At 36.8% G+C, this 27,369-nt stretch overlaps 1 protein-coding gene across 3 annotated transcripts, besides 2 other annotated features; it reads right to left on the bottom strand.

Annotated features, from left to right (window-relative positions):
* On the bottom strand, positions 1,348–25,777 carry FGF5 (fibroblast growth factor 5). 3 transcript variants are annotated; one of them, NM_004464.4, is made up of 3 exons: positions 25,186–25,701; positions 17,353–17,456; positions 1,348–6,040 (listed from the first exon to the last, which is right to left on the bottom strand). In NM_004464.4, exons 1-3 carry the CDS (start codon positions 25,538–25,540, stop codon positions 5,693–5,695), a joined length of 807 nt encoding a protein of 268 aa, NP_004455.2. In that variant the 5' UTR covers positions 25,541–25,701; the 3' UTR covers positions 1,348–5,692. The 3 variants fall into 3 exon arrangements, with proteins under 3 accessions (NP_004455.2, NP_001278741.1, NP_149134.1); NM_001291812.2 differs by lacking the exon at positions 25,186–25,701 and adding an exon at positions 23,797–24,097; NM_033143.2 differs by lacking the exon at positions 17,353–17,456 and having other exon boundaries at positions 25,186–25,777.
* Positions 23,162–23,732: an enhancer, noted in NCBI's record as "H3K4me1 hESC enhancer chr4:81189787-81190357 (GRCh37/hg19 assembly coordinates)". NCBI's record gives its function as "activates a minimal SCP1, AML or CMV promoter by ChIP-STARR-seq in naive H9 embryonic stem cells {active_cell/tissue: H9 hESC(naive)}" and the evidence as "EXISTENCE:reporter gene assay evidence [ECO:0000049][PMID:30033119]".
* Positions 25,475–26,006: an enhancer, noted in NCBI's record as "H3K4me1 hESC enhancer chr4:81187513-81188044 (GRCh37/hg19 assembly coordinates)". NCBI's record gives its function as "activates a minimal SCP1, AML or CMV promoter by ChIP-STARR-seq in naive H9 embryonic stem cells {active_cell/tissue: H9 hESC(naive)}" and the evidence as "EXISTENCE:reporter gene assay evidence [ECO:0000049][PMID:30033119]".

Genomic DNA, 27,369 nt, shown 5'->3' with positions numbered 1-27,369 from the left:
CTCATAGAACTTTCAACATTGTAAGAATCCTACAATCACTGGTAATAAATCTAGAAATCATGTTAGAGATCAAATGGTGAAGGGTAAAACAGGTGCTAGAGAGTGACTTGTGATATTTATGTCTGAATAAAGACAAAAACAATTTAATAAACTAAAACATAAATGAGAGTTCTTGGTTTATAATCTAATATTATTTTTATTGCATAAAATTGCTGAAATACTGATTGATGATGTGTAGCCCAGCTGACTGATTCAATGTCATAAAAATTCTTAGATGTCTACCAATGACTTTCTTCACAGAATTGGAAAAAACTACTTTAAAGTTCATATGGAACCAAAAAAGAGCCCGCATCACCAAGGCAATGCTAAGCCAAAAGAACAAAGCTGGAGGCATCACACTACCTGACTTCAAACTATACTACAAGGCTACAGTAACCAAAACAGCATGGTACTGGTACCAAAACAGAGATATAGATCAATGGAACAGAACAGAGCCCTCAGAAATAATGCTGCATATCTACAACTATCTGATCTTTGACAAACCTGACAAAAACAAGCAATGGGGAAAGGATTCCCTATTTAATAAATGGTGCTGGGAAAACTGGCTAGCCATATGTAGAAAGCTGAAACTGGATCCCTTCCTTACACTTTATACAAAAATTAATTCAAGATGGATTAAAGATTTAAATGTTAGACCTAAAACCATAAAAACCATAGAAGAAAACCTAGGCAATACCATTCAGGACATAGGCATGGGCAAGGACTTCATGTCTAAAACACCAAAAGCAATGGCAACAAAAGACAAAATTGACAAATGGGATCTAATTAAACTAAAGAGCTTCTGCACAGCAAAAGAAACTACCATCAGAGTGAACAGGCAACCTACAGAATGGGAGAAAATTTTTGCAATCTACTCATCTGACAAAGGGCTAATATCCAGAATCTACAATGAACTCAAACAAATTTACAAGAAAAAAACAAATAACCCCATCAAAAAGTGGGCTAAGGATAGGAACAGACACTTCTCAAAAGAAGACATTTATGCAGCCAAAAAACACATGAAAAAATGCTCATCGTCACTGGCCATCACAGAAATGCAAATCAAAACCACAATGAGATATCATCTCATACCTGTTAGAATGGCAATCATTAAAAAGGAAACAACAGGTGCTGGAGAGGATGTGGAGAAATAGGAACACTTTTACACTGTTGGTGGGACTGTAAACTAGTTCAACCATTGTGGAAGTCAGTGTGGCGATTCCTCAGGGATCTAGAACTAGAAATACCATTTGACCCAGCCATCCCACTACTGTGTATATACCCAAAGGATTATAAATCATGCTGCTATAAAGACACATGCACACATATGTTTATTGCAGCACTATTCACAATAGCAAAGACTTGGAACCAACCCAAATGTCCAACAATGATAGACTGGATTAAGAAAATGTGGCACATATACACCATGGAATACTATGCAGCCATAAAAAATGATGAGTTCATGTTCTTTGTAGGGACATGGATGAAGCTGGAAACCATCATTCTCAGCAAACTATTGCAAGGACCAAAAACCAAACACCACATATTCTCACTCATAGGTGGGAATTGAACAATAAGAACACATGGACACACGAAGGGGAACATCACATACCGGGGCCTGCTGTGGGGTGGGTGGAGAGGGGAGGGATAGCATTAGGAGATATACCTAATGCTGGATGACAGGTTGGTGGGTGCAGCACACCAGCATGGCACATGTGTGCATGTGTGACAGACATGTGCATTGTGGACATGTACCCTAGAACTTGAAGTATAATAATAATAAAATTTAAAAAAAAATTCTTAGATGTAAAGATGCCTCACCTGACTCCACTCAGGTTGGATCAGCATCTTGTTCCCTTTTCTCCCCTGAGACTTTCAAATAGGGCAGAGTAAGATGGAGGAGGTAACTCTTTGTCTCTGCTAATACCTAATCATATAATCTTATTTCAAAAATTGGCCAGTACAGTTGGATTGACTACAAAAAAAAATTAGGCCTTGTCCATTTATCCAGAGGTTTCCTTCAAAACTTTTAAAAAATTTTATCACCTAAAATGGATTTTAAATTATCAGAATTTAGATGTAGCAATTAAGTAAATCTTAAAGGAGGTGTAGAATTCCTTTAAGAAGTTATTGTCTGCTTCCCATTGCAGCAATGTCTGCAATACTACTTTTTTTAATGAGCCCAGAAACAATTCTCTGCAACTGTAAAAATTATGCCAGAATGCAAGTTTTTGGTTAGTGCCATAGTTTCGTTTTGTTATTGAAAATGGGATAAGTCATGATTTATTCCCTCCCTTCTATGGAAGGGTAAAAAATGTTAATGGTAAGAAAGTTATTACATTTTCTATTTCAAGATTGATTTAATAAGAAATTTACCTACCAGATTTATGATGTTTTATTTTTAGCTACAAGAAATAAAAGCTTAAAAATAACAGAAATAAAAGCCTTAGTTTTATATATGTAATTTTTATAATATATACACAAACTTGGAAATAACTTCTGTCAGTATCCCTTATTATTGTCACATGATTTTGAACTTCTGGACCAATATAATTCAGCTGAAAGAACCAAGAAAATTAATATGCACCTGTACTCTCAAATTAGTCTCTTTAGAAGGAAGTGAAGAGAGACTCTTGAAAGATAAATCACAGTGTTACTACATCTTATTGAAAATTTCTATTTATCTCTATAGATGTTCCACATAAAGAAATCTTAAATAATTAAACATAATATAATTGATAAAACTGACATGTTAGTCTGGAGATGTTTGTCACCTATAGACAAAATAGACTCCTAAATATTAATATAAAAGTTATTGTTGTGTTTAGATGAACATAACCATAACCAAATAATTTTATTTGATATTTGGTGGTTCTAGTTACTTAAAATAATAAAAAGCTACATAAGCAAGAACCCTCTTAGAAAGTTGTAAGCATTAGTATAGACTTATATTTATACATGTTTTCTGTACATAAGTTCATTTAATTAATTGATGTAGGTAACTTTATGCTTCACTAAGCATTAATTATACATCATTGTACCTGTAATCCCAGCACTTTGGGGAGGCCGAGGTGGGCAGATCATGAGGTCAGGACTATCAAGAGGCCAGGATTGAGACCATCCTGACCAACATGGTGAAACCCCGTCTCTACTAAAAATACAAAAATTAGCTGGCGTGGTGGCATGAGTCTGTAATCCCAGCTACTTGGGAGGCTGAGGCAGGAGAATCCCTTAAACCAGGGAGTTGGAGGTTGCAGTGAGCCGAGATCATGCCACTGCACTCCAGCCTGGTGACAGAGCAAGACTCTGTCTCAAAAAAAAAAAAAAAATCATTTTGTATGGCCAGTAAAGACAAGTGTAATTGTGTAATTTAATATTTTCTTTTTAATTTTAGCATGGCTTTAAATTTTGAAATTAATGATTCCTGACTTGCATAATATATATTTAGTAGCTATCCTACTTTCACGTTAATATGCTAATCAAATCAAACCAGGAGTATAAGATAAACTATTACATTTGAGTTTAATGTAGCCTACAAGCAACATTTAGCCTATACAACTTATGCATTGACGTGGCTTATTGTTGACCATCATTATTATCTTTCCCTTCACTTATTAGGAACATATGTTTACTAGTTCCTGTTTGGCAGCTAAAATTTTTCATGTGCCCTAAGAACTTGGTATACAGTGCACAATACTTAACAATAGATTAGAATAAACTAGAGTAATATTTTTAGCTTTAGGCTGTGTAAACAGGGTCATATGCCATTTGGATGAGAGTTGAACATACTAAAAAATTTCATTGTTTCATTTAACCCAGAAATACTTTAAAGTATAAATTAGTTCAATTTTTGTAGCATTTCATTTTATGCTATTTAAACATTATGCATTCAGTGGAAAGAATGCTTAATCAGATAATTGGCTTTATAATAAAACACTATACTGATGTATACATATAATGTTTTAGTTGATGGATGGGTTTTTTAATATATTATTTGTTATATATATGTGTGTACTATTTTCCCATCAAATTAAAGCAATCTGCTTATATGGTAGCTAGTTCAATTTTGGTAAGTTTCCACTTTGTATTTGTGCACCAAAATAAATCATAGTTTGCTTTAAGAAAAAAATAGTTTATAAGTACACTTTAAACATGTTTAAATGCAAACCATGAAGTTTCTATGAACCCTTTTGTTACTACTAAAGCCATATGTTTAGCCTTTAGCTATGCCTTTTTTGCCACATTTCTGAATGTAAGATAAACGTGTATTTTGCAGAACTTTATTAAAATGATTACCTGAGAATAAATTTTGTAAATTTTCTTAAGTTAAATTTTCTGTGATTTATGTCCAGCAGTCAGTATTTAGGTTGAAATTAAATGCCATTTCAACACAACAAATTCCCAAATTAAGTTACCTCTATCAAAAGGCCAGTTTTTTTAATAAACATCAGAAGTTTCCTTATAAAAGGGCACATCTATTCACTGGATTGGTTACCTTTAGGAAGGGAAGCTCAAAGAGTGTTTGACTGAGTAATAAGAATATTTCTGACAATGGGACTTGGCATGGATAACTGTTAAACCATTGATCTCCTTCAGTTCTCTATCATTTCTAAGTGTTTGCTCCCTGTGGATCTATACAGTGGGATAGCAGAGAGTCATAGAAGTATTTTTAAGCACTTGAATTTCATAGTGTATGCTTCATGGACAGAATAAAATGTATTCCTCCAGCTGTTCAAGAATGAGGGCAAGGGGGAGATAAAAAGAGAAATGAAGGCAAGACAGACTTAGATCTCAATAAATGTTGCAAACTTAGTGTACTTTTACCTCTAAATCCTTTTCCTTACCTCCCACATTTAATTCCATCAAAAAGTCCTTATATTTTCTCCTTGCTTCTAACCCATCATATCCCAGCCACCAAAGGTTTAGGATTCCACATAATGTCATGAATTGACATACACATACACACAAATCCAAGCTGAGCCTTTGGTGCTGTGAAAGAGAATTTAAACATTTTAAAATGTAAAACTAAACATATTATCTGAGGTATGGCTAGAAATAAAAACAATAAAAAAGTGCAGTGAATAGGAAAAATGTAAAAGATTTCCATATTACAAATGAGCTATAAACACATTTATAATTCATAAACAGCATAAAATGATTGCTTATGTCATATTAATTAAAATAATAAAAGTAAGAAAATATGCTCAATGCAGAGGTACTTTTAAGAAAACAAACAAAAAAAAACAAAAGTTAACAAAATATTTTATCTGCATCAAAATATTCTTTGGAAACCAAAAATAAAAATGTATCATGTATGTTCTTTCAGGTTAATCTGTAAAAGTCAGAAAAATACGTAGTCCCTGTTATTTAACTTTCCGAAAATACAAAGTTCTAAATATCCCTCAAGCATAAAGCAAAAGGCTTTATGTCTTGCTGAACTGAAGGAGTGTGCTCCCTGTATTAGTACAAAGAATTCCAGTTTCCTTCCTATCAAAAAACATTTTGTTTCAGTCACATTGAAACAAATGACGTGACTTCAATACAGTGTAAGTATAGCTGAAGCTGTGTCCAGTAATTTTTCTTCAGAACTCTGAAGACACCTATAGAAACTCCTGAGGGGAAAGAATGGTTTCTCACAAGGCCAAGAGGAATATTATCCAAAGCGAAACTTGAGTCTGTATTTCACTGAGTTGGTATTTTTCCGAGGTGCAGAAAGGGGAATCTTTGGCTTGATAGGGCTAGGTGGCTTTTTCTTTTCAGGAACAGTAACCGTGAAAGAAAGTTCTGGCTGCTCCGACTGCTTGAATCTTGGCAGAAAATGGGTAGAGATATGCTGGGGTTTAACCCGGGGGCTGCACCCTCGTTTGGCTTTTCCTCTTTTATTCAGGGCCACATACCACTCCCGCCCTGTTTTTTCAGTTCTATGTATTGCTGAGGCATAGGTATTATAGCTATTTTCTTGAAAACGCTCCCTGAACTTGCAGTCATCTGTGAACTTGGCCTAAGGAGGAGAAAAAAAGAGGAAATTTAAGTTGTGGCGATCTTTTCAGCATGTAATAAAACATAAGGTATTGTAGAAAAAAAAACAATAATTTTGTTGATCTCTGTTCCTCCTACTCAATTCCTTTTTATAAAGACATGTTTGCTTATTTTAAAGTTGCTTTAAAATTACTATTTTTCTTTCTATATTTCTACTTCATTTATCTTTGTAACACATTTCTGTTCCCTACTTACTTGGTGACATAATATCGATGACTATAAAAGTAACCAGAACTCTTGATACATTTAAACCCTGTTACTATTGTTTAAATACTTTGAAATGTATAGTTACAAATCTTTTTACATACTGTTTTTCCTCCTAACTCACTAAGAAAATAAATGGAACTATATTACTAAGAAATGATTGCCTGGTAAAATATAAATTCCTGTTCACAGAAATGAGGTCAAAATTATTCCTTTGAAACAAGCTTGCATTTTTTCAATGTTATCAGTGTGATTGAGGCTGCTGAGAGAGAAGTAGCATATGGCCCCCATTAATATTGCACGTGTTAGAGTTCTTTAGAAAAAAATAACGTATCTTTACTCAGGCATTACAGGAAAGTATATCTAACTCCAAGAAGAAAAAAGTCACTCGAGTTACTAACTACACTTTGGCCAGATCTTACACACACACAAAATATCTGCCCTTGAAATGCTTACAGAATAGTGGAAAAGCAGACAAGTAGACATCCGTCATGGTGCAGCTTGATAAATGGAATTATGACAGCGGTATGCAGAGGGTACAATGACAGCATAGAGGAAGGGCATCTAAGAGGGTGGAGGTGGCCAAGAAGAGGGCAGAAAAGTCTTCCTATAAAAGGTGACATTTGAGCTGAGTCTTCAAGTACAACTAGGAATGTTCTCTAACTAGCATTAGAGAGGAAGGCAAAATAAGAAAGGATTTTCAGGGAGAAGGAACAGGGTGTTGAAAGGTCAACATGACACTTTCAAATACCTGTAAGTAGTTCAGCGTGACCTCTACCTAGGATGCATGTGGGAAGTAAGGAGATGAGCCAGACAATGTAGGTCAGCACCAGCTCTGAAAGAGCTTAGTTTGCCATGTAGTAAAATTTGAAGGAATATGTGGGAGAATGGGGGAAGAGTGTGAACTTGGAGTCAGACATGCAATCAAAAACCAGTTCTGCCAATTAAGCTCTTAGCCTTAGCCTCCTTATCCATAACACTTACAACAATAGGGCTGTTATGAGAATCCAAAGGAGGATTCTGTAGCTTTCATCAAACTTGAAAGAGCCCATAACCCCCAAAGAATTAAGAATTCCTGTACTAGTTAAGACTACCAGGTTTCATAATTTCAAGGAGTACTATTTACACAGAATTCCCGTGTTTGAGAATACCAAATATTTTGTCCCCTATATATAAAAACACTAAAAGCTACATACTTCTATATCAAACCAAGAAGTTTTATACGGGAATAAAATGGCCTTTTTTTCCTTGTTTTTTCTAATAATGCCAAACTTTTCTTTGAAATACTGATCATAACACAGAAATCTAAAAATCTGAATATTGCAAGGCAATCTACATAGATCCACTGTTGAAGTCCACATGGAGTTTCTGAGCAGTGCAGGTTACTGACAGTAGTAGAAGCCAACCAATATCAGAGCATTTCCAACAGCACATTCACTTTATGTACAATAGTTTACTGGAGTTACTTATATTTAAGTGTAGTTCAATCAACAAAGTTCCATTGGCAGGTTATGAAGCCATATATGTAGATCTTCCACAAGTCTACTGGTGAATCTCTGGATATGATCTCGAGCAGGCTGAAGGCAAGTATTTTTTGTTTGTTTCTTTGTTGTTGTTGTTGTTGTTGTTTTGTTATTGTTGTTGTTTTTGAGACAGGTTCTTGCTCTGTTGGCCAGGCTGGAGTGCAGTGGCATTATCTTGGCTCACTGCAACCTCCATCTCCCAGGCTCAAGCAATTCTCCTGCTTCAGCCTCCTGAGTAGCTGGGATTACAGGTGTGTGCCACCATGCCCAGCTAATTTTTGTATTTTTAGTAGAGACGGGGTTTCACCATATTGGCCAGGCTTGTCTCGAATTCCTGACCTCAGATAATCTGCCTGCCTCGGCCTCCCAAAGTGCTGGGATTCAGGTGTGAGCCACCGCACCCGGCCGAAGGCAGGTATTATAAACAATCACCACCTATGTATGGCATCCCTTTCACCCTGTCTACGATACACCTTGCCAGCCTGCATTTAGGCCCGGACTGCTATGCTGACATCACTTTCGAAGACCACACATTGACTATTCCTATTTTTTATTAGAAAGACTTGCTTACAAATTCATTGTAGATTTGTCTACAGCTGCTTAGCTCTTAAAATGGTTTTCCCATTTAATTAGATAATCCCAACATTTTATTTCAAAATAAAAGCTATAGACATCTAGAATGTTTCTGGCTCTATAAACAGATCACAAGAATTTTACAAAGGTGTGAAACATTTCATTAAAAAGAGTATCAGGTATATTTATCTTGTCTCGGGTTTTTTTTTTCTTAAAATGCAGTTGAATGACATTTTTGAAAATGTGTAATACATTATGCCTTGATCTGACTTCCAGCTCTGTTTCACAAAAACAGCGGTGATTGCTTTACTCAATTTTGACAGAGTTAGGTTTTTACAATGTACTACATTATTTAATATTTTCCCCCAACAGTGCCCAAGAAAATAAAGAAAGAACATGTCATTTTTAACTAATGTAGATGACAGGCACACACACACTCATGCACAGGTGCATGTGCAGACACACACCACAGCATTTCTTTTTTTAAAACAGGAATCTATATCATTTCCATTTTAGGATCTTTCATATGAGTGAAACCCACCTGCCCCACCCCCTACAATTGTTTCATCTAAAATCTTTCTCTTTTCCTCCTCTTTTCCTCGAGATTCATATTCTAAAGTTCTTTCTTAAGAGGAGCCCTTTATGGAGATGGCTATTTGGACTTCAGATTTTTCAAAGGTCACCTAACTGTTACCCAGGGTAGAAGTGTGTAGAGTTCTAAGGATCTACACAGTACACACAGCCCCTCAGCCATCCAAATCCTACATTCTACATTAATACGGGAGTAAACGCAGTTAGACTGTTTTGGCTTTCTTAATTAACTTTTAATTTAATGTTTTGTCTGAAAAATTATTCCAGCTGTGATGGAACACAGAATCATTTGAAACAAACATTTCAGTGAATTTACTCATCTTGAAGGATTGACTATTCCTGTTAGTATTCCCGGTCTGGCTCAGACAAGATGGTGACCCTAAGCAGTATATCTCTATACATAATGTTGTGCATGGACCATCTTTATAGCAAAGAGTCATAGGTCTTAGCTAGAGGTACTAAAATACATACATTTACCATTAGAAAATTTTGGACAATAAATTTTCCAGGCTGATTTTTATTTTTTAAATCTTTTTTTTAAATTATAAGTCTTCTAATAAAATATACACTTTTAAAATGATAGAACTCCATTATTTTTCTAGAAAAAAAACCCCTGAAATTAACAGACTTTTTCTATAGTTAAAGAGTATGAAGTAGAGAGATGAATCAAATTTCAGATAAGTTGCTGAAATCAAGACTCCTTCATCTAATTGCCTTACCACCATCAGCCACTACAATGAAAGCAATTGTTTAAATATTTGTTTAAAAAGTTTCATATTCATTTTTCACTAATTTATTCCACAGATATCACATGCCAGGCACTGTGCTAGGTGCCACTTTTACAGTGGAAAACAGTATTAACATGGTCCTGCCCATGTTTTTGTTGACTTAAATTACATTAAAATCTCTTTAATTTCTCCTTGATCTGGCAAGAATAATAACAGGTTACATTCAACAAACCATAATTGCAAAATTAAAATGAAATGTTTAAAATCAGCGTTTTTTGTACTTTAGTATATACTCCTAATTGACAAAAAAAAAAGAACTTTAAACAAATCGAACTATTTTTTCTTGAATATCCAGATTATTACAAGGAGAGGAAACACACTACTATTAAGAGAAATAAGAACTTTCTGCTGGGTACGGTGGCTCACATCTGTAATCACAGCACTTTGGGAGGCCAAGGCGGGTGGATCTTTTGAGGTCAGGAGTTCGAGACCAGCCTGACCAACATGGTGAAACCCTGTCTGTACTAAAAATACAAAATCAGCCAGGTGTGGTTGTGCGCGCCTGTAATCTCAACTACTCAGGAGACTGAGGCAGGAGAATCGCTTGAACCCAGGGGGCGGAGGTTGCAGTGAGCTGGGATCCTACCATTGCACTCTAGCCTGGGCAACAAGAGCAAAACTCTATCTCAAAAAAAAAAAGAACTTTTTCACTAGAAGTAAACTGTGGCTCTCCTCACCCCTTCTCACAGTGAAGGATCAATTTTAAACAACAGATATTTTTTGAACGGTCAAATTGAATTCAAAGAAAGCACAACTCCGATTAACTACAATATTCCAGAAATGACTAATTCTGCCAAGCCAAAATTAAACAGGTCAATTAAACCAAATAAATTATTTCCAAAATGATATTGTTTAAAAAAATCTCTCTAAAATCCCTTCTTGTGGTTTTGTTCCTTAGTAAATATCACCATCTATGATGATTGAGTACCTTGTATAGTATGAATTAAAGCTGTGCAAATACCGACTCTTGCGTGCAACTACAGAACTAAATATGTAGGATATGAGATATAGAAATAGGAGTGAATTTGAACAGACACCAGTATAAACCTTGGAATTTGTGTGTACTTAATCAATTTTAATGATTTATTTCAGCTTGTTTTCTTTGATTTGCCCCTTTCTCCTGAAAAACCTTATAAAGTTAAGGGAAAAAAAGCCAAATATAAATAATCAAAATGTTGTTATAGACTAATATTATTAAATAACAAAAAGGTTATCATAGACTGTAATAAAAACAACTATAGACCAAATTTTGCTCTAAACTAAGTTTCCTTGTCACATGCATCACTTCTAATTCCCCTCCCTCCTTTTAGACCTGCTTGGTTCCCATCCCTTCCCTCCACCAATGGAGCTGCCTGGGACAGGTACCCTAAACTCAGTTCGTTTTTTATACTTGTGCCCTGGTACAGGATAGCAAGCACCCAGAGGGCTACTTCTTACTCTTTACTATATAAGCTGTGTATGGGTCAGTTGTAGCCTTGCCATGCTATCTCCCAGGCACGGCCATATCTCCTGCTTGGTACTGGACATTCGTTCCTTCTATATCTCAGTTCTTCATACTGAGCAACCAACAAAATACACAAGTTGGCTTTAATATCACCCAACCTGAGATAATGCAGTAAAGAATATCAACTACAGGATCTCTTTTCTTCACTTACATAATTTGCCTTCAAATTACTCAGAGAGCAGGCTCAAATGCAGCTCCTCAAGCCCTATCTCCAGGGACTGTGTTTTTCTAAGTCTGAGGTGAGACCCTGGACTTGATGTATCATTAACCAGCATCCCATGTGGTTTTGATACCCTTGAAGTAAGGACCACACCAGGCAAAACATGGTATAGCATGACTTTCTTTCTGAGGCCCTTAATAACTCCATATAGCTGGACTATTGGAGACTACTCTGTGTCAGGTGGTTTACATATATAATTTAACTCACAGTAATTCCATGGCTGCTATTAGGATAGTATTATCTGATTTTTTTCAGCCAGAGAAGTAAAGAAAATGATCCATCTATCACCCTGCATTTATTAAGTGCCAGAATAGACCTGTGATTTAAATTGCATCTTCTGATTCCTAGACTAAGGGTCTTTCCATAACACTATACAAACCAAAGCTATTGCCTAGTCTTTGCTCATACAATCTTACTTGCTCTGAAGTTGTTTCCTGTTAAAATATTGATGAATGACAAGTGTCACTCTTCAAATCATCAAAGAAATATATTACCATGTCTCACTTTCTGCTAAAATGGATTTCTGAATCTACAAGGCAATCACATCCAGATTTCCTCAATAAAATAGGTCTTTTAACTAGACCTCCACAGTGCAAAACTGAGGGGAAACTGGCATTTACTGCGAAGGCAGAGTTTAAACCCATTTTTGTGCCTGAATAGCTAGACATTCCATTTTACTGTATATTGAAAGCTCTTAGAGGGCAAAAAAATATTCTTTTCAAATGCCTTGATCTAGCTCATGCATGGTCTTGACTGGCAGAGTGGAGTGCTTAGTAAGTTATTTTTTGATGAGGATGATAAGTATTACTCAAGCCTCCATTTCCCCTTTCAGTAAATATGTTCAGCTTTAGGGGCTGCTGACTCCTCTTCACTCTGCCTGCAGCGCAGGAAGTCCATTCTGGAGTCTCATCCCAGGCAAGCCAGCTGGCACCCTCTGAAACCAGGAAAGGAGGATGATCTATTCCTTGCTTAGGACTGATCAAGCACACATTCCATGCCTGTTTCATAAAGTCTGCAATTAGCTTTCCTTTCAAACATGATCCCCTAAAACCCTGAGAAACAAAAATAATTCCACCACATGCTTCTCTCTGGATCTTTAAAATAAGGTAACATGTTTTTCCCTAATTAGCAATGAGCTTTCTGCATACTTTATGAAAAGACTGAAGAATACATGATAACCACCTTTTCCAAGATTTATATATTTAGGGAAAAATCAAGATGGACAACAGAGCTATGAAAAAAGTCACAAGATTATAACCATAGGAAATCCATGCCTCTTTAAGAGGTTGAGCTTGGAAATTTTGCTTTGAAATTAGGTTCCTTGGTGAAAGGAAAACTTAGTAGATAAGGGACACCTATAAGCACACAAAGTTTGGACGTGAGGAAGAAAAGGTCAGTGATAAATAGGAGTTGGGGCTGGCCTGAATAATTTAAGGGTCACAGTTGCCTGACCCCAAAATCAGAAAGAAAAAGATTAAGGATTGTCAAACAGCTGCCTGAGAGCAAATTCAGGAAAATCTGTTTAAACATTAAGTGTGGAACACTTTTCAGGCAGTACTCTAAGTGTTTTATGTGTATTATCTTGTTTAAAACACTTAACTATCCCAATAGATTGTGACTTTAATTTTCCTTCTTTTGTAGTTGATAAAACCAAGGAATAGAAAGATGAAGTAAAATGACACAGTTAGGAAGTGGTAGAGTAGGATTCAGCCTGGGGCAATCTAACTGTGTCTTTACCATCACACTCAAGGCCTTTCACTCCTAGTCTGGACCCACCTCAGATAAATCCAGAAAGGCTCTCTAGGGGACTTTCAGTAAGGATGCCAACCTCAGGAGGGAGCAGGGACAGACAGACAGATAAAGGGAGAAAGAGTGCTCAGTCTCAGAAGGTATCTTAGCATGGGAATGTGTTGAGAAAGAGAGTACAGGCCACAGCTGTGGCTTGGAGTAGCCCTCATGGCTCTTTGGAAAGTAATTATCTCCTCCTGCTCTTGATGATTCTTGATACATTTGGACAAAGAGAAGACCATACATCCTCATCCTTGTAAAGAATGCTGAAAAACCTGCACGACAAGAATTTGGTTGCACTGCATATTTAGAGTATACCAATAAAAGTTTGAAGGAGAGCTGCCTGTAGATCAGGGGCTTGAATGAGTCCAGGGAGCCCACATTTAGATGGCTGAAGCTCAAATAAAACTTATCTGATGGGATTAATAAATTTAGCACAAAAATGGAATCAGCATCAATGCTGCCTGAATCTGCTCTGGCCTACCCTTTCAGTCTGCCATATTTGTGTCTATGGCAGTAAAATATTTACTAAATGAAGTTTTCTGTGAGCAAAACAGATCTCTTTTCTGTTTTGAAAGTTTATCTCGGGAGGCAGGAGTTCCCTATGCAACTCATCATTGACAATGAATAACCAACATTTGTAAAATTCTGTGGCAGACACATCCCCTCTTCTCTAGATTCTAAAGTAAAGTACTGGAGACCCAGGAGTAGATGGGGGAAACACCAGTTCAAAAAAGGTGATATGAATCAAAGAGAAAAAGAGGTACCTAGAATGGGGAAATTTACAATTTTAACTATAAGTCTTAAATTGCCTGTTTATTTGCCTATTAAATAGAGTGCTATAAATATTCTAATGATGTGCCACAGTATTCATTTGTATATGTAATACAAAAATATTTTCACGCACATATTAATTTCTATACACTAAGAGGTGAAAACAATGTAATTGATTCCAAACAAAATTTAATATCTTCTTTGAAGCTAACTTTTATCTACCAAGCACTATAGCATTTAAAAAGAAAGAGAAAATTCTAGGAGGATATAGTTCTGGTTCAATCACTTGTTAACTGTGTAACCTTGGGAAAATAATTTAACATCTATGAGACTCTTTCGTCACCTCATTATCTAATGAGATAATGTGAGCAAAAGGGCTTTTAAAGAACTATGAAAGTACATTATCTCTGCCTAGTAGCTAATTTTTAGTACTCTGATTATTATTACAAAAACTGAGTTGAATATTTACAAGTATCCATGAATATTTCTCAGTACAGTGGGGGATTACTTTTCCCAGAATTCTATTAATATTTTATATTTTTAGTTTACATTTGCTTTGTAGATAGAACCCTAAAAGTACCCTTTAAATGCCTCCGCAAAATTTTTAGTTTAAAGCAACTCACAAATTACAAGTTTAATCCTAAAAGTCTATGAGTTTTTAACCTTTTTTGGGGATGATGTAAAGTCGTAAAAATCAAAACTATTAACTAAATCAAATAGTCATATTTAGAGTTACAAAAACAATTTCCCAGCATGTTTAACTAGAATGTGAAAACAGGAAAGAAACCAACTGGGCATAAAACTGGTAATTGCTAGCATTAATACTATTTCTAAATTCAACATCTTTAAAAAATAAATCACTTTATAATTTAATTAGGTTTACACCTAGAGGAAAAGTGCTAATAAATGCTCAGATAAGAGAAAGTGGGCTTGGATAATTGGTTTAAAAAGAATCCACATAATCATAGGCTTAATATTTTTATCTACAATTTAGCTCAAAGTCATCAGAATGACTTTTATATCAAAGAGCTTCAGTGAGTGACAAGAGCAAGACTTGCTTTGTACTGTTTAAAAGTCATTATTCTATGAAATAACTTTAGCCTGCCAAGATGAGAAAGAATAACAGATGCTGTTTTTGCATTATCTGCATTATTTCAACCAGCCATCCTTAGACATTTGGGTCAAATTTCTAGAAATTTGTTACTTGCCTTTGACAGAGGAATCATGTATCTTAACCTCTCAGTTTGACCTTTCTAATTGGCTTCCATTTGTAATATGTTACTTTCTGTGGCAATTATCCTTAAGCTGTTCCAAGTTTAGTCTATTTTTTTTGCATGTACTATGGCATAAATCAGAATATTTTGAAAGTTAAGATTTTCACTCAAAACAAACCAGTAAGAGAAAGTTTCTTTGTATGCACTGTGTACTATTATGAGGTTAGATTTTAAAGGTGTTTTAATCTTTTATAAACTTAAAGTAGACTGAGGAAAAGTTATTCCGTTTAGATGTGTTTAATCATTGTTTTCAATTCTGTATGTGGATTTTTTTTTTTTTTACTTTTTTTTCCAGCCCTCGTGAGAACTCATCTGTATGTGGATTTTAACTAATATTTTAAAATAAAATTAAATGCCCTGAGAATGATACATTGGACTTTGGGAACTCAGGGGGAAAGGGGAGGGGGCTGGGGGTAAAAGACAACACATTGGGTACGGTGTACACTACTGGGGTGATAGGTGCACCTAAATCTCAGAAATCACCACTAAAGAACTTTTTCATGTAACCAAATACCACCTGCTCCTTAAAAACCTATTGAAATAAAAAATAAATTTAAAAAAGTAATACCCTACTTTTTTCACAGTGATGCAGAATGTTGTCCCTTAAACAAATGAAAAAATTAGAAAAATATATTTCTATGAATATTATACTACATCTTGCTAGAGTATAGTAACCAGCTCAAAAAATGAAATGGTAAATTGTTTAATAGTTCTTGCAATGAGTGATTTAAGTGTTTAACAAAGGATTTCCATTTATGTTAGTAAACTGAAATTTTAGTAATTTATTATATTTAGATTATATTTAGATTGTTAACCCTATAATAATAGGCAATATTTATTGAGCACTTATAACACACCAAATAGTATTCTTAGCACACTGCATGTATTATCTCATCGAATCCTCAAATAACTATAGAAATTGTTCAAATTCTGTCTCTTCCAAAAGATATTAACAAATCACTTTAGATGTTAAGAAAAGTAAAATTATAAAAGTCTTACACATTAAACCAAGTGGCGTTCTCATTGAATTTTTTAAAGATCTATCAAATCAAATTATATATAGTAAGTTTCAATTATTGCTATCAATTGAAACTTTCTATAACTTTGAAAACTGAAAAAGTGATATTCCAATAATTTATTTAATAAAGACTATAAAGAATCAGGATTAAAGGACTAACTTTAAAGAATAATTGCTTTCAAAATGTTTTAATGTGAAGAAAATAAGTATGCCAGAGAAAAAGCATAAAGCACCTTTAAGTGCAGCGTGTATATACTAATGCAAATAAATAGAATCTGTGAGTGGGAAAACTAAGCTGAACATATTTTATTATCTTTAAAATGTTTTAATACTTCCCAGGTAATGGGAACTTTCATAACAAAGCAAATAAATAGTTTGTGAATTGATTACAATATATAAAACTGGTCTGAATAAATTTTTGAGAATGCAAAATTAGTTTTCATAGTATTAAGAAGTCTTTATTTTTGATGTGACAAAAATACAAGATAAAAATTCTTCAAATTAATTAAATAAAATTTGTCTATGAAAGTCAGAGTCTTCTAATTATTGGTTTTTTCCCTCCCTGCTTGTTAATATGAAAATATTTTACATTACTGAGACCCAATTTGGTATTATGAGTAGCCTGTAAACTTAAATAAGAACCTCATCTACTTAGCACAAATACAGTCACTATAAACTTGTAAGTTTAAAATGTGATGAAATATATTATTGCCATATTCCTTCTTACGTGGGCCACTTCTAAGAAATAAGTGGATGGCTGCCCCTTTGAGAATGCTGTTTTCAAATACATTTATGCTTAAACTTTTTGTAGACTCTGTAATATCTTTTAAGTAAATTAAATATTTAAATTATTACTTCTGGAAGCGCACAAAATTATCTTGGTTAAATGTAAAAATACTTTTTAAAAGTTAAGTTCTTTGGGCAAATTTTCTTACCTATGAATTTGGAAAATTATTCTGTTTTACAAATGTAAAATCTTTATAGCACCTTTAACAAATATAAAGTGGTTCTACTTACACTTGCATGGAGTTTTCCTTTTTTTGACATCGCTAAAAATTTGTTGCTGAAAACTCCTCGTATTCCTACAATCCCCTGAGACACAGCAAATATTTCCAAAACACCTAGGATGACAGAAATCCCAAAATAAAACACAGGCTCTTATTTATATCATTGTGAAGAATTAAATTTCTACATAGATTCTTTCCATTCTTTATTATTGTGATTTTAAAAAAGAACTTAGTATTTAACATCCTTATTGTTCATGACATTCACTATGTTAAAAACAAAGAAGGCTAGGATTCAAGTGTTCATTTAAAATAATTTCAAGATTCAAAAATTTGATTCTACTTCATCAGTAATTATTTGGACAAATAAGTTGCTTTTAGTAAACAATGAGCATGAAGTTTTCTCAGGTTTTAAAGAAATTAAAAAGACATTTAAAAAATGTTTTTCAAAATAATTCTCCTCCATTGTTTCTTCATCAAAGATAATACACTACTTTGAACATTAAAGCACAAATCTGTGCTCAAGACTAGTATAACTATTTGAAAGTCTGGAAAATAATACTTATTTACATTAAATAAATTCCTCTACTCTAATTATCAAGGTTATAATGGTAGTTACAAATAAACATATACCATACTCAGTCTTTTAGTGACTGCATTTAAAGACTACATATAAGATACTGAAAGCATTATAAATAACTTGAAATTATTGGTTCAATGAAATGTTTAATGGATTATGCTTTGAGACATCTTGCATTTTGAATCATTTCCTAGAAAAAAATTAATGAAATAATTTATTACATTGTTGTATAAATTTTGTATTTTATAGTTAGCATTATGAAGTCAATGTCCCTCTGTCTCCTACAGTAATTTCAAAATTCACGTCCACTGGATCAAGAGAATTACACACCACTGTTCATAGAGTAGTTTAATAAGATAAAACACATAGTCTGCACTTAATTAGAAAGCCTGCTTATTTAACATAAATTTATGTATTTTATATGAACATGAAAAGAGCATAATGTGTTTTATTAGTTGTCTATTTCAAAATTTTTAAAAAGAGACTTTTAGCTCAATAGAGCTATAATGTGTTTTATTAGTTGTCTATTTCAAAATTTTTAAAAAGAGATTTTTAGCTCAATAGAGCTAAAAAGGGACCTGTCTTAGAAAGGAAAAAGGGAAGCCAGGTGCAGTAGCTCACGCCTGTAATTCCAGCACTTTGGAAGGCTGAGGCTGAAGGATCGCCTGATACCAGGAGTTCAAGACCATCCTGGTCAAAATAGTGACACCGCATCTCTACTTTTAAAAAGGAAAAGAAGGAAGGAAGAAAAGAAGGAAACAAAGAAGGAAAGGGATGGAAAAAAGAACATCTCAATATTTCCATCTATAATATTCTAAGCATATATACTAATTAGGATATCTCAATAGGACTCTGCCAAATAGAGAAATTCATCAGATTTTCTTGAAATAGCAAACTCTCCCTGCAGTATTTGAGGTATATATAAAATTATTCTGTTTACCAAAAACAAGAAATATTTTATAAATATATGTGAGTAACTTTATTGAGCATTTATTTTGTGCAATGTGAGCTAACATCTATAATTCTAGCAAGCACTGCTGTTTATTTATTCAACTTGGTTTCTTAAAAAACTTGATTAGAAAGTTTATGTGAAAAAGGGGATAACTGAACAGCTTATTTAAAAAATAGATGTTTTTAGCCCAAAGTAAATAAAACACACTTTAGGGAAACTGCAGGTACCAGTTCACTAATAGGTGTTTCTTTAAATTGAAAAACAAAAATCAAAAACTATTGGAAACTACTTTTGCTTTTAGAAGGAAACTGAAAAAAAAAACCACCAGTGCTGTATAAATCCTTTCCTTCAAAATGTTTTTAAATGCTATTTATAATAGGATTTATTATGAACATTGTTTGAGTGTGCTTCTAAAGGTTTAGAAGCATTATCATTTTATCAAATATTAACAAAACACACCAAATGCTTTGTAAAGTTACTCTACACAGATGTAATATGTTATAATAATATTATTACTAAAGCATGACTATAACAGTGATACAAAGTTAAATTTCTATTGGAAATACGGAATGATATTGGGAATAGCATTAATGATTTTAGATATTTGGGAGATGGGGGATGTGATTGTGAATATTTATGTAAACATGTGCATTCAAAAATGAGAAAGAAAGAAAGAAGGAAATTGTATATGTGTGGAATGATGGATACAAAAGGGACAACATGGAGTTGATACAGGAGAGATTTGATTGTATATTTCCTCCAATTTACTCATGGTGCTAGATTGTTAGAGGCTTTTAATTCCATTCCCTGGAAAATTATCTGGTTTTGAACATGCAGATATATTGTATATTAATGAAAAAATACATGGCAGAATAAAAGATTAAAGTCTCATAAGTGTATGTGTTTATATGCTAACTTTTAAGATGTTGAGATAAAAAGGCTTTATAAATATTTGTTTTAATAGAAATACTACTGCTTTGCTTAAATAAATAGTTTCTGATAATTAGCTCATTCTCTCTTTAAACAAAGACCCATTTAGATGCATTTAACATGTATTTCAATACAGTGTACACTCTGTGTATATATTATGTACAAGTTGCATGTAATGTATTTTAAATATGGGGAAGATGAAATAATATATGTGAAAGTGTTATTATTGTATTACATATTGCTGGGTTTCTTCTTAAAACTTCCAGGATAAAAATGATATAGTGCCTGAGAATTAAAAGATTTTATAACCTTAAGAAAATTATCTTTAACTGAAAGCTTAAAAATACACTTTACATATGTCATTCTATTTAACATTATAAAGAATGCAGGAGATGTAAGAGATGAGACTAGATGAATGAATTATTTTTCACGTGAGTAACTTTGGTATTGATCTTCTAAATCTTACCGTAATTATGACCTAATATTAAGAACACTGTTATGATCATAATTTCCAAAGTAATGTCAGCAGTGATTTCACAATGCCTTGTTTTCTGGAGCAGATTCAATGAGTCTCACAGTTCAGTTTCCTGCCCTCCTCCCCAAAACATCACAGGCCTATTGATTTTGCTATGACAAATCTCAGTAACTCATTCAGGAATTCTACGTAATTTTTTAAACCCATGTGCCTTAAATCACAAATATATAAATTTCTGAAAACATTTCTCTGACATTGATTTTTTTTAATTTCAGTAATTTTCTGACCTTTATCATCGGGAGTCACGCATATTAAATTTGATGGAAACTTACAATTCTCCTTATGGATGCCAAGGCAGTATTTCTAAGCCAAACTGTGGAAGGCCAAGCTTGTCTTGTAGATGGTATATAGTCAATGACTGTTTGCTAAATTTGACTGCCTTCTTTGATCCTCTCACTACCTCTCTTTTCTCTTGTCAGGACACCCCATGCATACACAAGTATGGACAGGTGTCTTAGTACTCTCCTGCTACTGTGGCCTTCTCCTGCTTGAGAAGGCACGGGGTGGACGGGTGGCTCAGTGTAAATAAATTCACATTAAAGTGCTACAGACAGTGTGTTATTTTTCTTAAGGTGTTCCCATTTAAGAGGGTCAAAAGAAGAGGAGAATGCTTAACAGAAGGAATTATTCTCTTTGTGGAATTTCAGCATTGACACCTAGGCTGAAGAAGGCAAGAATGTCTTGGTGTCTCTCAGCTTATACACACAGTCTATTCCACTTATGCATTATGATGTAAGCTTACTTCCGTAAAAAAAAACATATTTCTAGATTTTTGACTTAGTCCTCTGCAGATTTCTTAATATAATAGGGCTCTACTGATAGTGGTTGATACAACTATACACATTTTTCCTTTTTCTCTCTTTTGTTAATGAATAAAATATAGAAAAGCACAGATATTCCATGTATTCAGAAGCTTTCAACAACGCATCTGAAAATCCCCAGACAAAAATATTTTAAAACTGAAGTTTCTCTACTTGCATCCACAAAGTAACAGATATGCTGTGCCAAGTTATGAAATCTGAATCTTGAAATATTCAGTTTAGCAGTCTTCACTGATTAAATTAGCAACAGAAATTTTCCACTTGATTTTTCTGCATAGTAGATATAGATTCTGATTTATCTAGGCTTGGGGGACTGTCTAATGACTCCACATGACCCCAAAATTGGTAGTGAATTTAGATTTTTTTAAAAAGCAGTAACATCGACGATTCTATTAACCAAAATATGTGCTTGGAATTTTCATATTTTATGTAAACGCTTTGACAAAGCCTTAAACTTTTCTTCCCTAAACTGACAACTACTTGATTGCCTATTCTTCAATGGCCCAAGGTAAGTCAACAGAAGCACTGTATTGACATTAAACTTGAAGGCGTATAAATTAAACCAAACCATTTGTTTCCATGCAATAGTTGGGTCATCTATCTTGCCTTGTTCATATTTCTTCATTTTTCCACAGTATTTCCTCATAATAAGGATTTATATACAATGAGCTTGATTTCATTTTCTGTGTTCAAAACTTGGGATAATTATTGTGTAAGAGAAGCTAAGAGTATATTAATTGGTCCATGTAAACTAAACAAATTATGTTTGAAAGTCCATGGCCATGGTGCACTTCTCATGGTGAAACCAGAAAACATTTGCAATTTGCAAAAAAAAAAAAAAAGTTTACTGTCAAATAATAGTTTGCGAAACACATATGATTATCTGTTCTATCAGACAAATACTACAGAATATTATTAGGTTTAAAATAACTTGTTAGAATGCAGTTTCATGGCAAAGCTTTGACTTTTCTGAAGTATCAGGGTTGTAACAAAAAGAATAGGTTTTCTATCATCACTAACTCACATACAGTAGAAATAGAAGATGAGATCAAACTGAGGTATCCTCTGTGGCCCTTGATCCAGCCCTCTCAGCCTCTCTTAGGAGATTTAAACACATTTCCTCACATACTCTAAGAAAGGCCATGGCCAACACCTTAGTTTACACGAATGTCAGGAAACATCAACTACTGCCTTCAAAGAGGTAAATGACCAATTGTAATTAGCAAGTTTCTGTTTCTCTTTTACAGCTAGGTAATGGCAGAGATCCATGTTAAATTCCCAAATTACATGCAAATTCTGCATTGATCAAAGGTAGTAAAAATTTTATGAAGTAGTATTAGACACTCCAGATATCACAAAGCAGAAAATTACTATGATTTGAATATTTGCTATGCTTTCTTCTGGGGAAAAAAAAAAAAACTCTATGGAAGACAAACAACACAAAAGTAACCAAAATATCATGCTTAGTGAGATAGGTATCTTATATTGGGTACATGATTTATGGCATGAATGAAAGCAAGTCATGTGAAAGACACAGAAACTAAACTCTGAAAGGTTATTGTAAACAAGAATAAATTAGGAAAAAGTTTAAATTAAGCTTTTTGTCGGCACTGTTTTAGGAAACATCCCTGTTCTCTTGTAGATATCTTTCAACATGGATTTTAAAAGAAAATGTACATGTTACATACTGGGTAGTGGTCAATGTCTTGTTTATCTGGGTGCACTCTTTTTGATCTGCTCTTATTTTCCCCCCTTTGCTTTTCTACAACACCCCCTCTAGCAAGGCCTAAGCTGTAAAACTACCTTCGTCTCATATAGTGTCTTCGTAGAGAAGATGGTGAATATCCTGGGAATGAGCCTTGCTTTCTGAGATCTCTAGCACACCTAAACCCTCCCCAGAAGCATTCTCTGAGCTCCCTGGGCTCCAACCTGCTGCTTGCTGCCTGCTAGTTTGGGGTCCGCCCTTGAGCTCACGGAAGTTATCCTCTGTTGGTGCTCTGTCATGTACCCAGGGAGAGTGGAAACATAGCCAGGAGACAGCAGCGCGCACAGTCACCTGTCTTTCAGTGTCAGCCTGGTTGCTCCTAGATGTTCCTAACTTGCTCCATCTCAGACCAATGACTCCACGGGTCGTTACAAGAAGAACAGAAGAAAGAAAGTTTTCTTGTAAGAGAGAAGGAAAGGTTGCCGGAAGTGGGAATAAGCTGTGATGGCTGATGGAGTCAAAAGACCGTTGAGACAAAATGAGAAGGACGAATGGAAATAAATAGATGTTACTGATTATTCCTCAAATCTCAGAAAATTCCATTTCACCCCAACAGATCTTGCCCTTTATCCCCCAAATGAGCAGTTATTCGATGAGTGAAATAAACTCTAAAATATGGAAATAGATTCCTCTCGGGAGTGTGAGGGAGGCCCTGGGACTCGCTGGTGCGTGTGCGGAGGGCCCTCTCTCCAGCTGGGCGCTCCAGGCGCCCTCACCACGTGCGCCGCAGGCTGCTGAATCAGCGCGATCAGATAGACTAGACAGGCGCAGAGGGGCGGGCATAGACCTGCTTTTCTCTCAGCATGAACCATCAGGTCTTCCGCATTAGGCCCCCTTAACCCACCGGAGGAGGCTAGCCAGCCTACCGCCTTACCCACTTGCGCGCCTCCGACCCCCCTCTGGAGACTGCTGGCTGCCAAATCTTCAGACCGCCGGTGGTGTCCACGCTCCTCTGGAGCCTGTGTAAGAAGGAGCCCAATGGCCCGTGGAGTCTTTGGTCTGAGATGGAGCAAGTTAGGAACATCTAGGAGCAACCAGGCTGACACTGAAACCAGGTGACTGTGAGCGCTGCTGTCTCCTGGCTACATTTCCGGTCTCCCTGGGTACCTGACAGGCCCTGGCTGGGGCTCTGCCTGGTGGACCAACCCGCGCTGGAAGAGCGATCTGGCCCTACTGAGCAAAAGCCCCACAGAGATCTCCCCACTCCTACTCACAGCCCCAAACCGTCCCTGCCCCCAGCTGCCTAGAGGCAGTGAAGAGAAACCAGAGGAGTGGCTGCGATGGTCTGGAAACATAGATGGGGTGGAAGGGAAGAGGAGATGAGAAAGGAAAAAAGAGAGCGTGCTGAAAGAAAAAACTCAGAGGGAAAATTTAAAACTTTGTTTATAAAAAGTCCTACAAAATCTGCACCCCTACCAAATTTAACCTCTGCGTTTCTTCTAAAATAAGGAACTTTCCCCTAACTGTTCTTGGGGACCAAAGGCTGGCCACTCTCCTAATACGGTGTAGTCATGGTCTCAAGATACTAAACATTGTTAAATCCAACTCTGGAGTTAGTAATTTCAATGTTTATCATGTCTCCCTCTCTAAACGCGTCCAGTTTTCTAGAGCACAATCTTCTTCCAAGCAGGAATGTCTGTCTGGTGTCCCCTAGTTATCTATCTGTCTGTCTATCTATCTGTGTATCTATCTATCTATCTATCTATCTACCTATGTGTATACATTGTATACATAGACTTATATACATATATACATATACATATACAATATTAATTTGAGGTTTATGGTAGCGGATGGAAGAGGGAAGTATTTGGGATTTGATTCTTCTTTTCAAAAAATAACTTCAGTTATGGATAGGGAGAAGGGCTGCCTTTGATGCCTAATGAAAAATGCCAGGCTAGTTCATAAGCAGAAGGTAAACAAATTGAGTGAGAAGAAATGAGTTTTTTGTTCTCTCCTGTCATGGCTGGGGACTCGTCTTTGAGGCTAGAGCAAACTGAAAACAAGGTACCCGTCTGGGCACCAGCCTCTAGGTAACATACACCTGAGAAATCGCAATTCCTCATGCCCAGGAGAGGGGTGCGTGTGCGCACGCCATATAGATGCATCTCCACCCAACCCGCCCGGCTGTTTCTGAGTATCAGCTTGGTCCCAGTGGCCTGGGCTCAGGAAGGTGAGCCTGTGTCCCGGCGAATACCTGCTGTCCCTCCCGAATCTTCCGCGGCCGCCTAGGACGGGTTTTGTAGGAGAGCGAGTAACTTACTTAACATATTGGCTTCGTGGGATCCATTGACTTTGCCATCCGGGTAGATCTGCAGATGGAAACCGATGCCCACTCTGCAGTAGAGGCTGCCGGTCCGGCGCCCCGAGGGGCTCCACTGGAAACTGCTCTGCTCCAAGCCACTTCCTTGGCTGCCCAGAGAAGCTGCGGGGGAGGAGGAGGCAGAAGAGGAAGACATAGCGCTACTGCTGCTCTGTCTGCTGCTGGAGCCTCTAGGGTTCCTATCAGTGGCAGCGGGTCCGGGTTGCCCTTTGGGGGCGAGACGCTTCTCCCCGTGAGCCCAGGCGCTGAGGATCAGGTGGCTGAAGAAGAGGAGGAGGAGGAAGGACAAGCTCATTCTTCCAGCCGCGGGGGTCCTAAGTGCATCTTGTAGGGCTGATTCTGGGCTCTGTAGCCCCTGTGCGGCTGCGTGCCTCTGGCTCTGCCCGCCTCGCCGCACCGGGTGGACATAGCCTCGGGGAAGAGAAGGGGAGAGGGGAAGAGAGAGGCCACCCGAGCGGATCTCCGCGCTGGCACCGGGATATTTATAACGCCAGTGATCTCACTGCTCCGTGCACGCCTGCGAAGCTTCCCCTCACCCGCGGCTTTGTGTACTCACTGGCCGGTGCGGGGAGGGAGCCTCGCGGTCCCGGGGGCGGGGGATGTGAAGGAGGGAGGAGATCCGAGCGAGTGAGTGGGAGGAGAAGCTGGGCTGAGAGAACCTGCGCCCCGGACGCTGGGTGCGCCCATACCAGGGCCACGCATCCCAGCAGTTCTCTCGCGTCGCGCGGCCACCCGGATTCCCCGACTAGGACCAGAGCCGCGTGGAAACGAGCTCGGCGTTAGCAGCTGAGTCCTCCAGGGGCAGCGATAGAAACGGAGGGTTGAAATGTGGAAATGGGTCCTTGTCCTCTCCCACCTCTACAGCACACTTGTGACTGGGCAACGCACTCTTGCCCCCCAGGACACGATTTCCAGGTTCTCCTCTCTTTGCCCTGTAAACCCTGCTATCTCGTCCTCTCTCTGGGAGCCCTTGGAGAAATGCGTCCCACCAGGAGATCCCACTGCTTCTACGTCTTTCGGCGTTGGAAAACCAAACAGGGATTCGCAGCCCAACTTGGGAAGCCTTTGGTGTGGCGCGGTTCGGGGAGAAGGCTGTTTTTGCTGTTATTAGCGATTTATTAAAGAGCTAAGGAATGGGTTTATTCAGCGTTTAAAACGCCACCCTGAGTCATCATGCCACGACTGGAGCTGCTTTCTTGTTGGAAACTCTCGGCTGCGCTGAACATTATGACGAATTTGTTTTTCCTTCTGGGAAGCTCTCCGTCTGTATTCGTGAGAGTGAGGGCACACGCACCCCCGCGCTCCGACCGGGGAAAGAGAGGCAGCGGCTGGACACCAGCACATGTAACTGACCGCCCAGTTGTCCTCTTTCGCCCCAGGATCCCCGTGGCAGGAAGGGTTAGCTAACTGCTCGCTTTAGCTTACCCAGACCTGCCATTGACTGAGGGACCGACCTCAGTGAATGATTAATGACGTGCGCGCTGGATTTCAACCTCAGGAAACCCGAGAAGGGAAAATTTCCTTGAGAACAGAGAATTTCCCTGTACGGGCAACGTCCCCAGACTGTTATTTATCTGGGAAATACACCTGACTTGCATGCTTGGAATGTTTCTGTCTAAAAACATATTTGAAACTTTAAACTAAGCTATGATACATTATTCATTGGTTATTTTAATGAAACGGCCCGTGCTATTGACTGATAAGGTCAATTCAGATGAACCAAGGTTGAAGCTAAGAAACGGCCTTACCCATTATTGAGTACCTACTTAAGGTTTTCCATCTCAATAATGAAACGCATATAAAACAATGCAGATTTTTCAGGTTTGGAATCTTCCACCGCCAGAGTAACATCAAAGTACTTGTAAAACAGAAGGTTACCTGGAAAGTGTAGTAAAACCACTGTGATAAAGAAAGAGGACATCACACATAGATGTGCATAACATGGGCACACTACATGAGATACTGTCCAGAGCTGAACACACCCCCTGTCCACTGTTCTAGGCTCAAGTTATATACTTCTCCCTTAACTAGGGTGGGTAGGCAGATCCTTACAAGGCAACCCTAAAAGTAGACATTGAGAACAGTCACAGTATCTCTCAGAATGGTCTACTTGACTGAAATCAC

The sequence above is a fragment of the Homo sapiens genome, chromosome 4 (genome assembly GCF_000001405.40).
Source record: "Homo sapiens chromosome 4, GRCh38.p14 Primary Assembly".
Lineage (NCBI taxonomy): Eukaryota > Metazoa > Chordata > Mammalia > Primates > Hominidae > Homo > Homo sapiens.
This window is presented reverse-complemented; position numbering and strand designations above follow the sequence as displayed.

Excerpts from the sequence above, each read along its gene's own strand:
- FGF5 (NM_004464.4), bottom strand. The coding sequence starts at position 25,540 with ATGAGCTTGTCCTTCCTCCTCCTCCTCTTCTTCAGCCACCTGATCCTC. Across the intron at positions 17,457-25,185 it reads CCACGAAGCCAATATGTTAA|GTGTTTTGGAAATATTTGCT; the intron begins GTAAGTTACTCG and ends CTGTCATCCTAG. Across the intron at positions 6,041-17,352 it reads AAGGAAAACTCCATGCAAGT|GCCAAGTTCACAGATGACTG; the intron begins GTAAGTAGAACC and ends TCTCCTCCTTAG.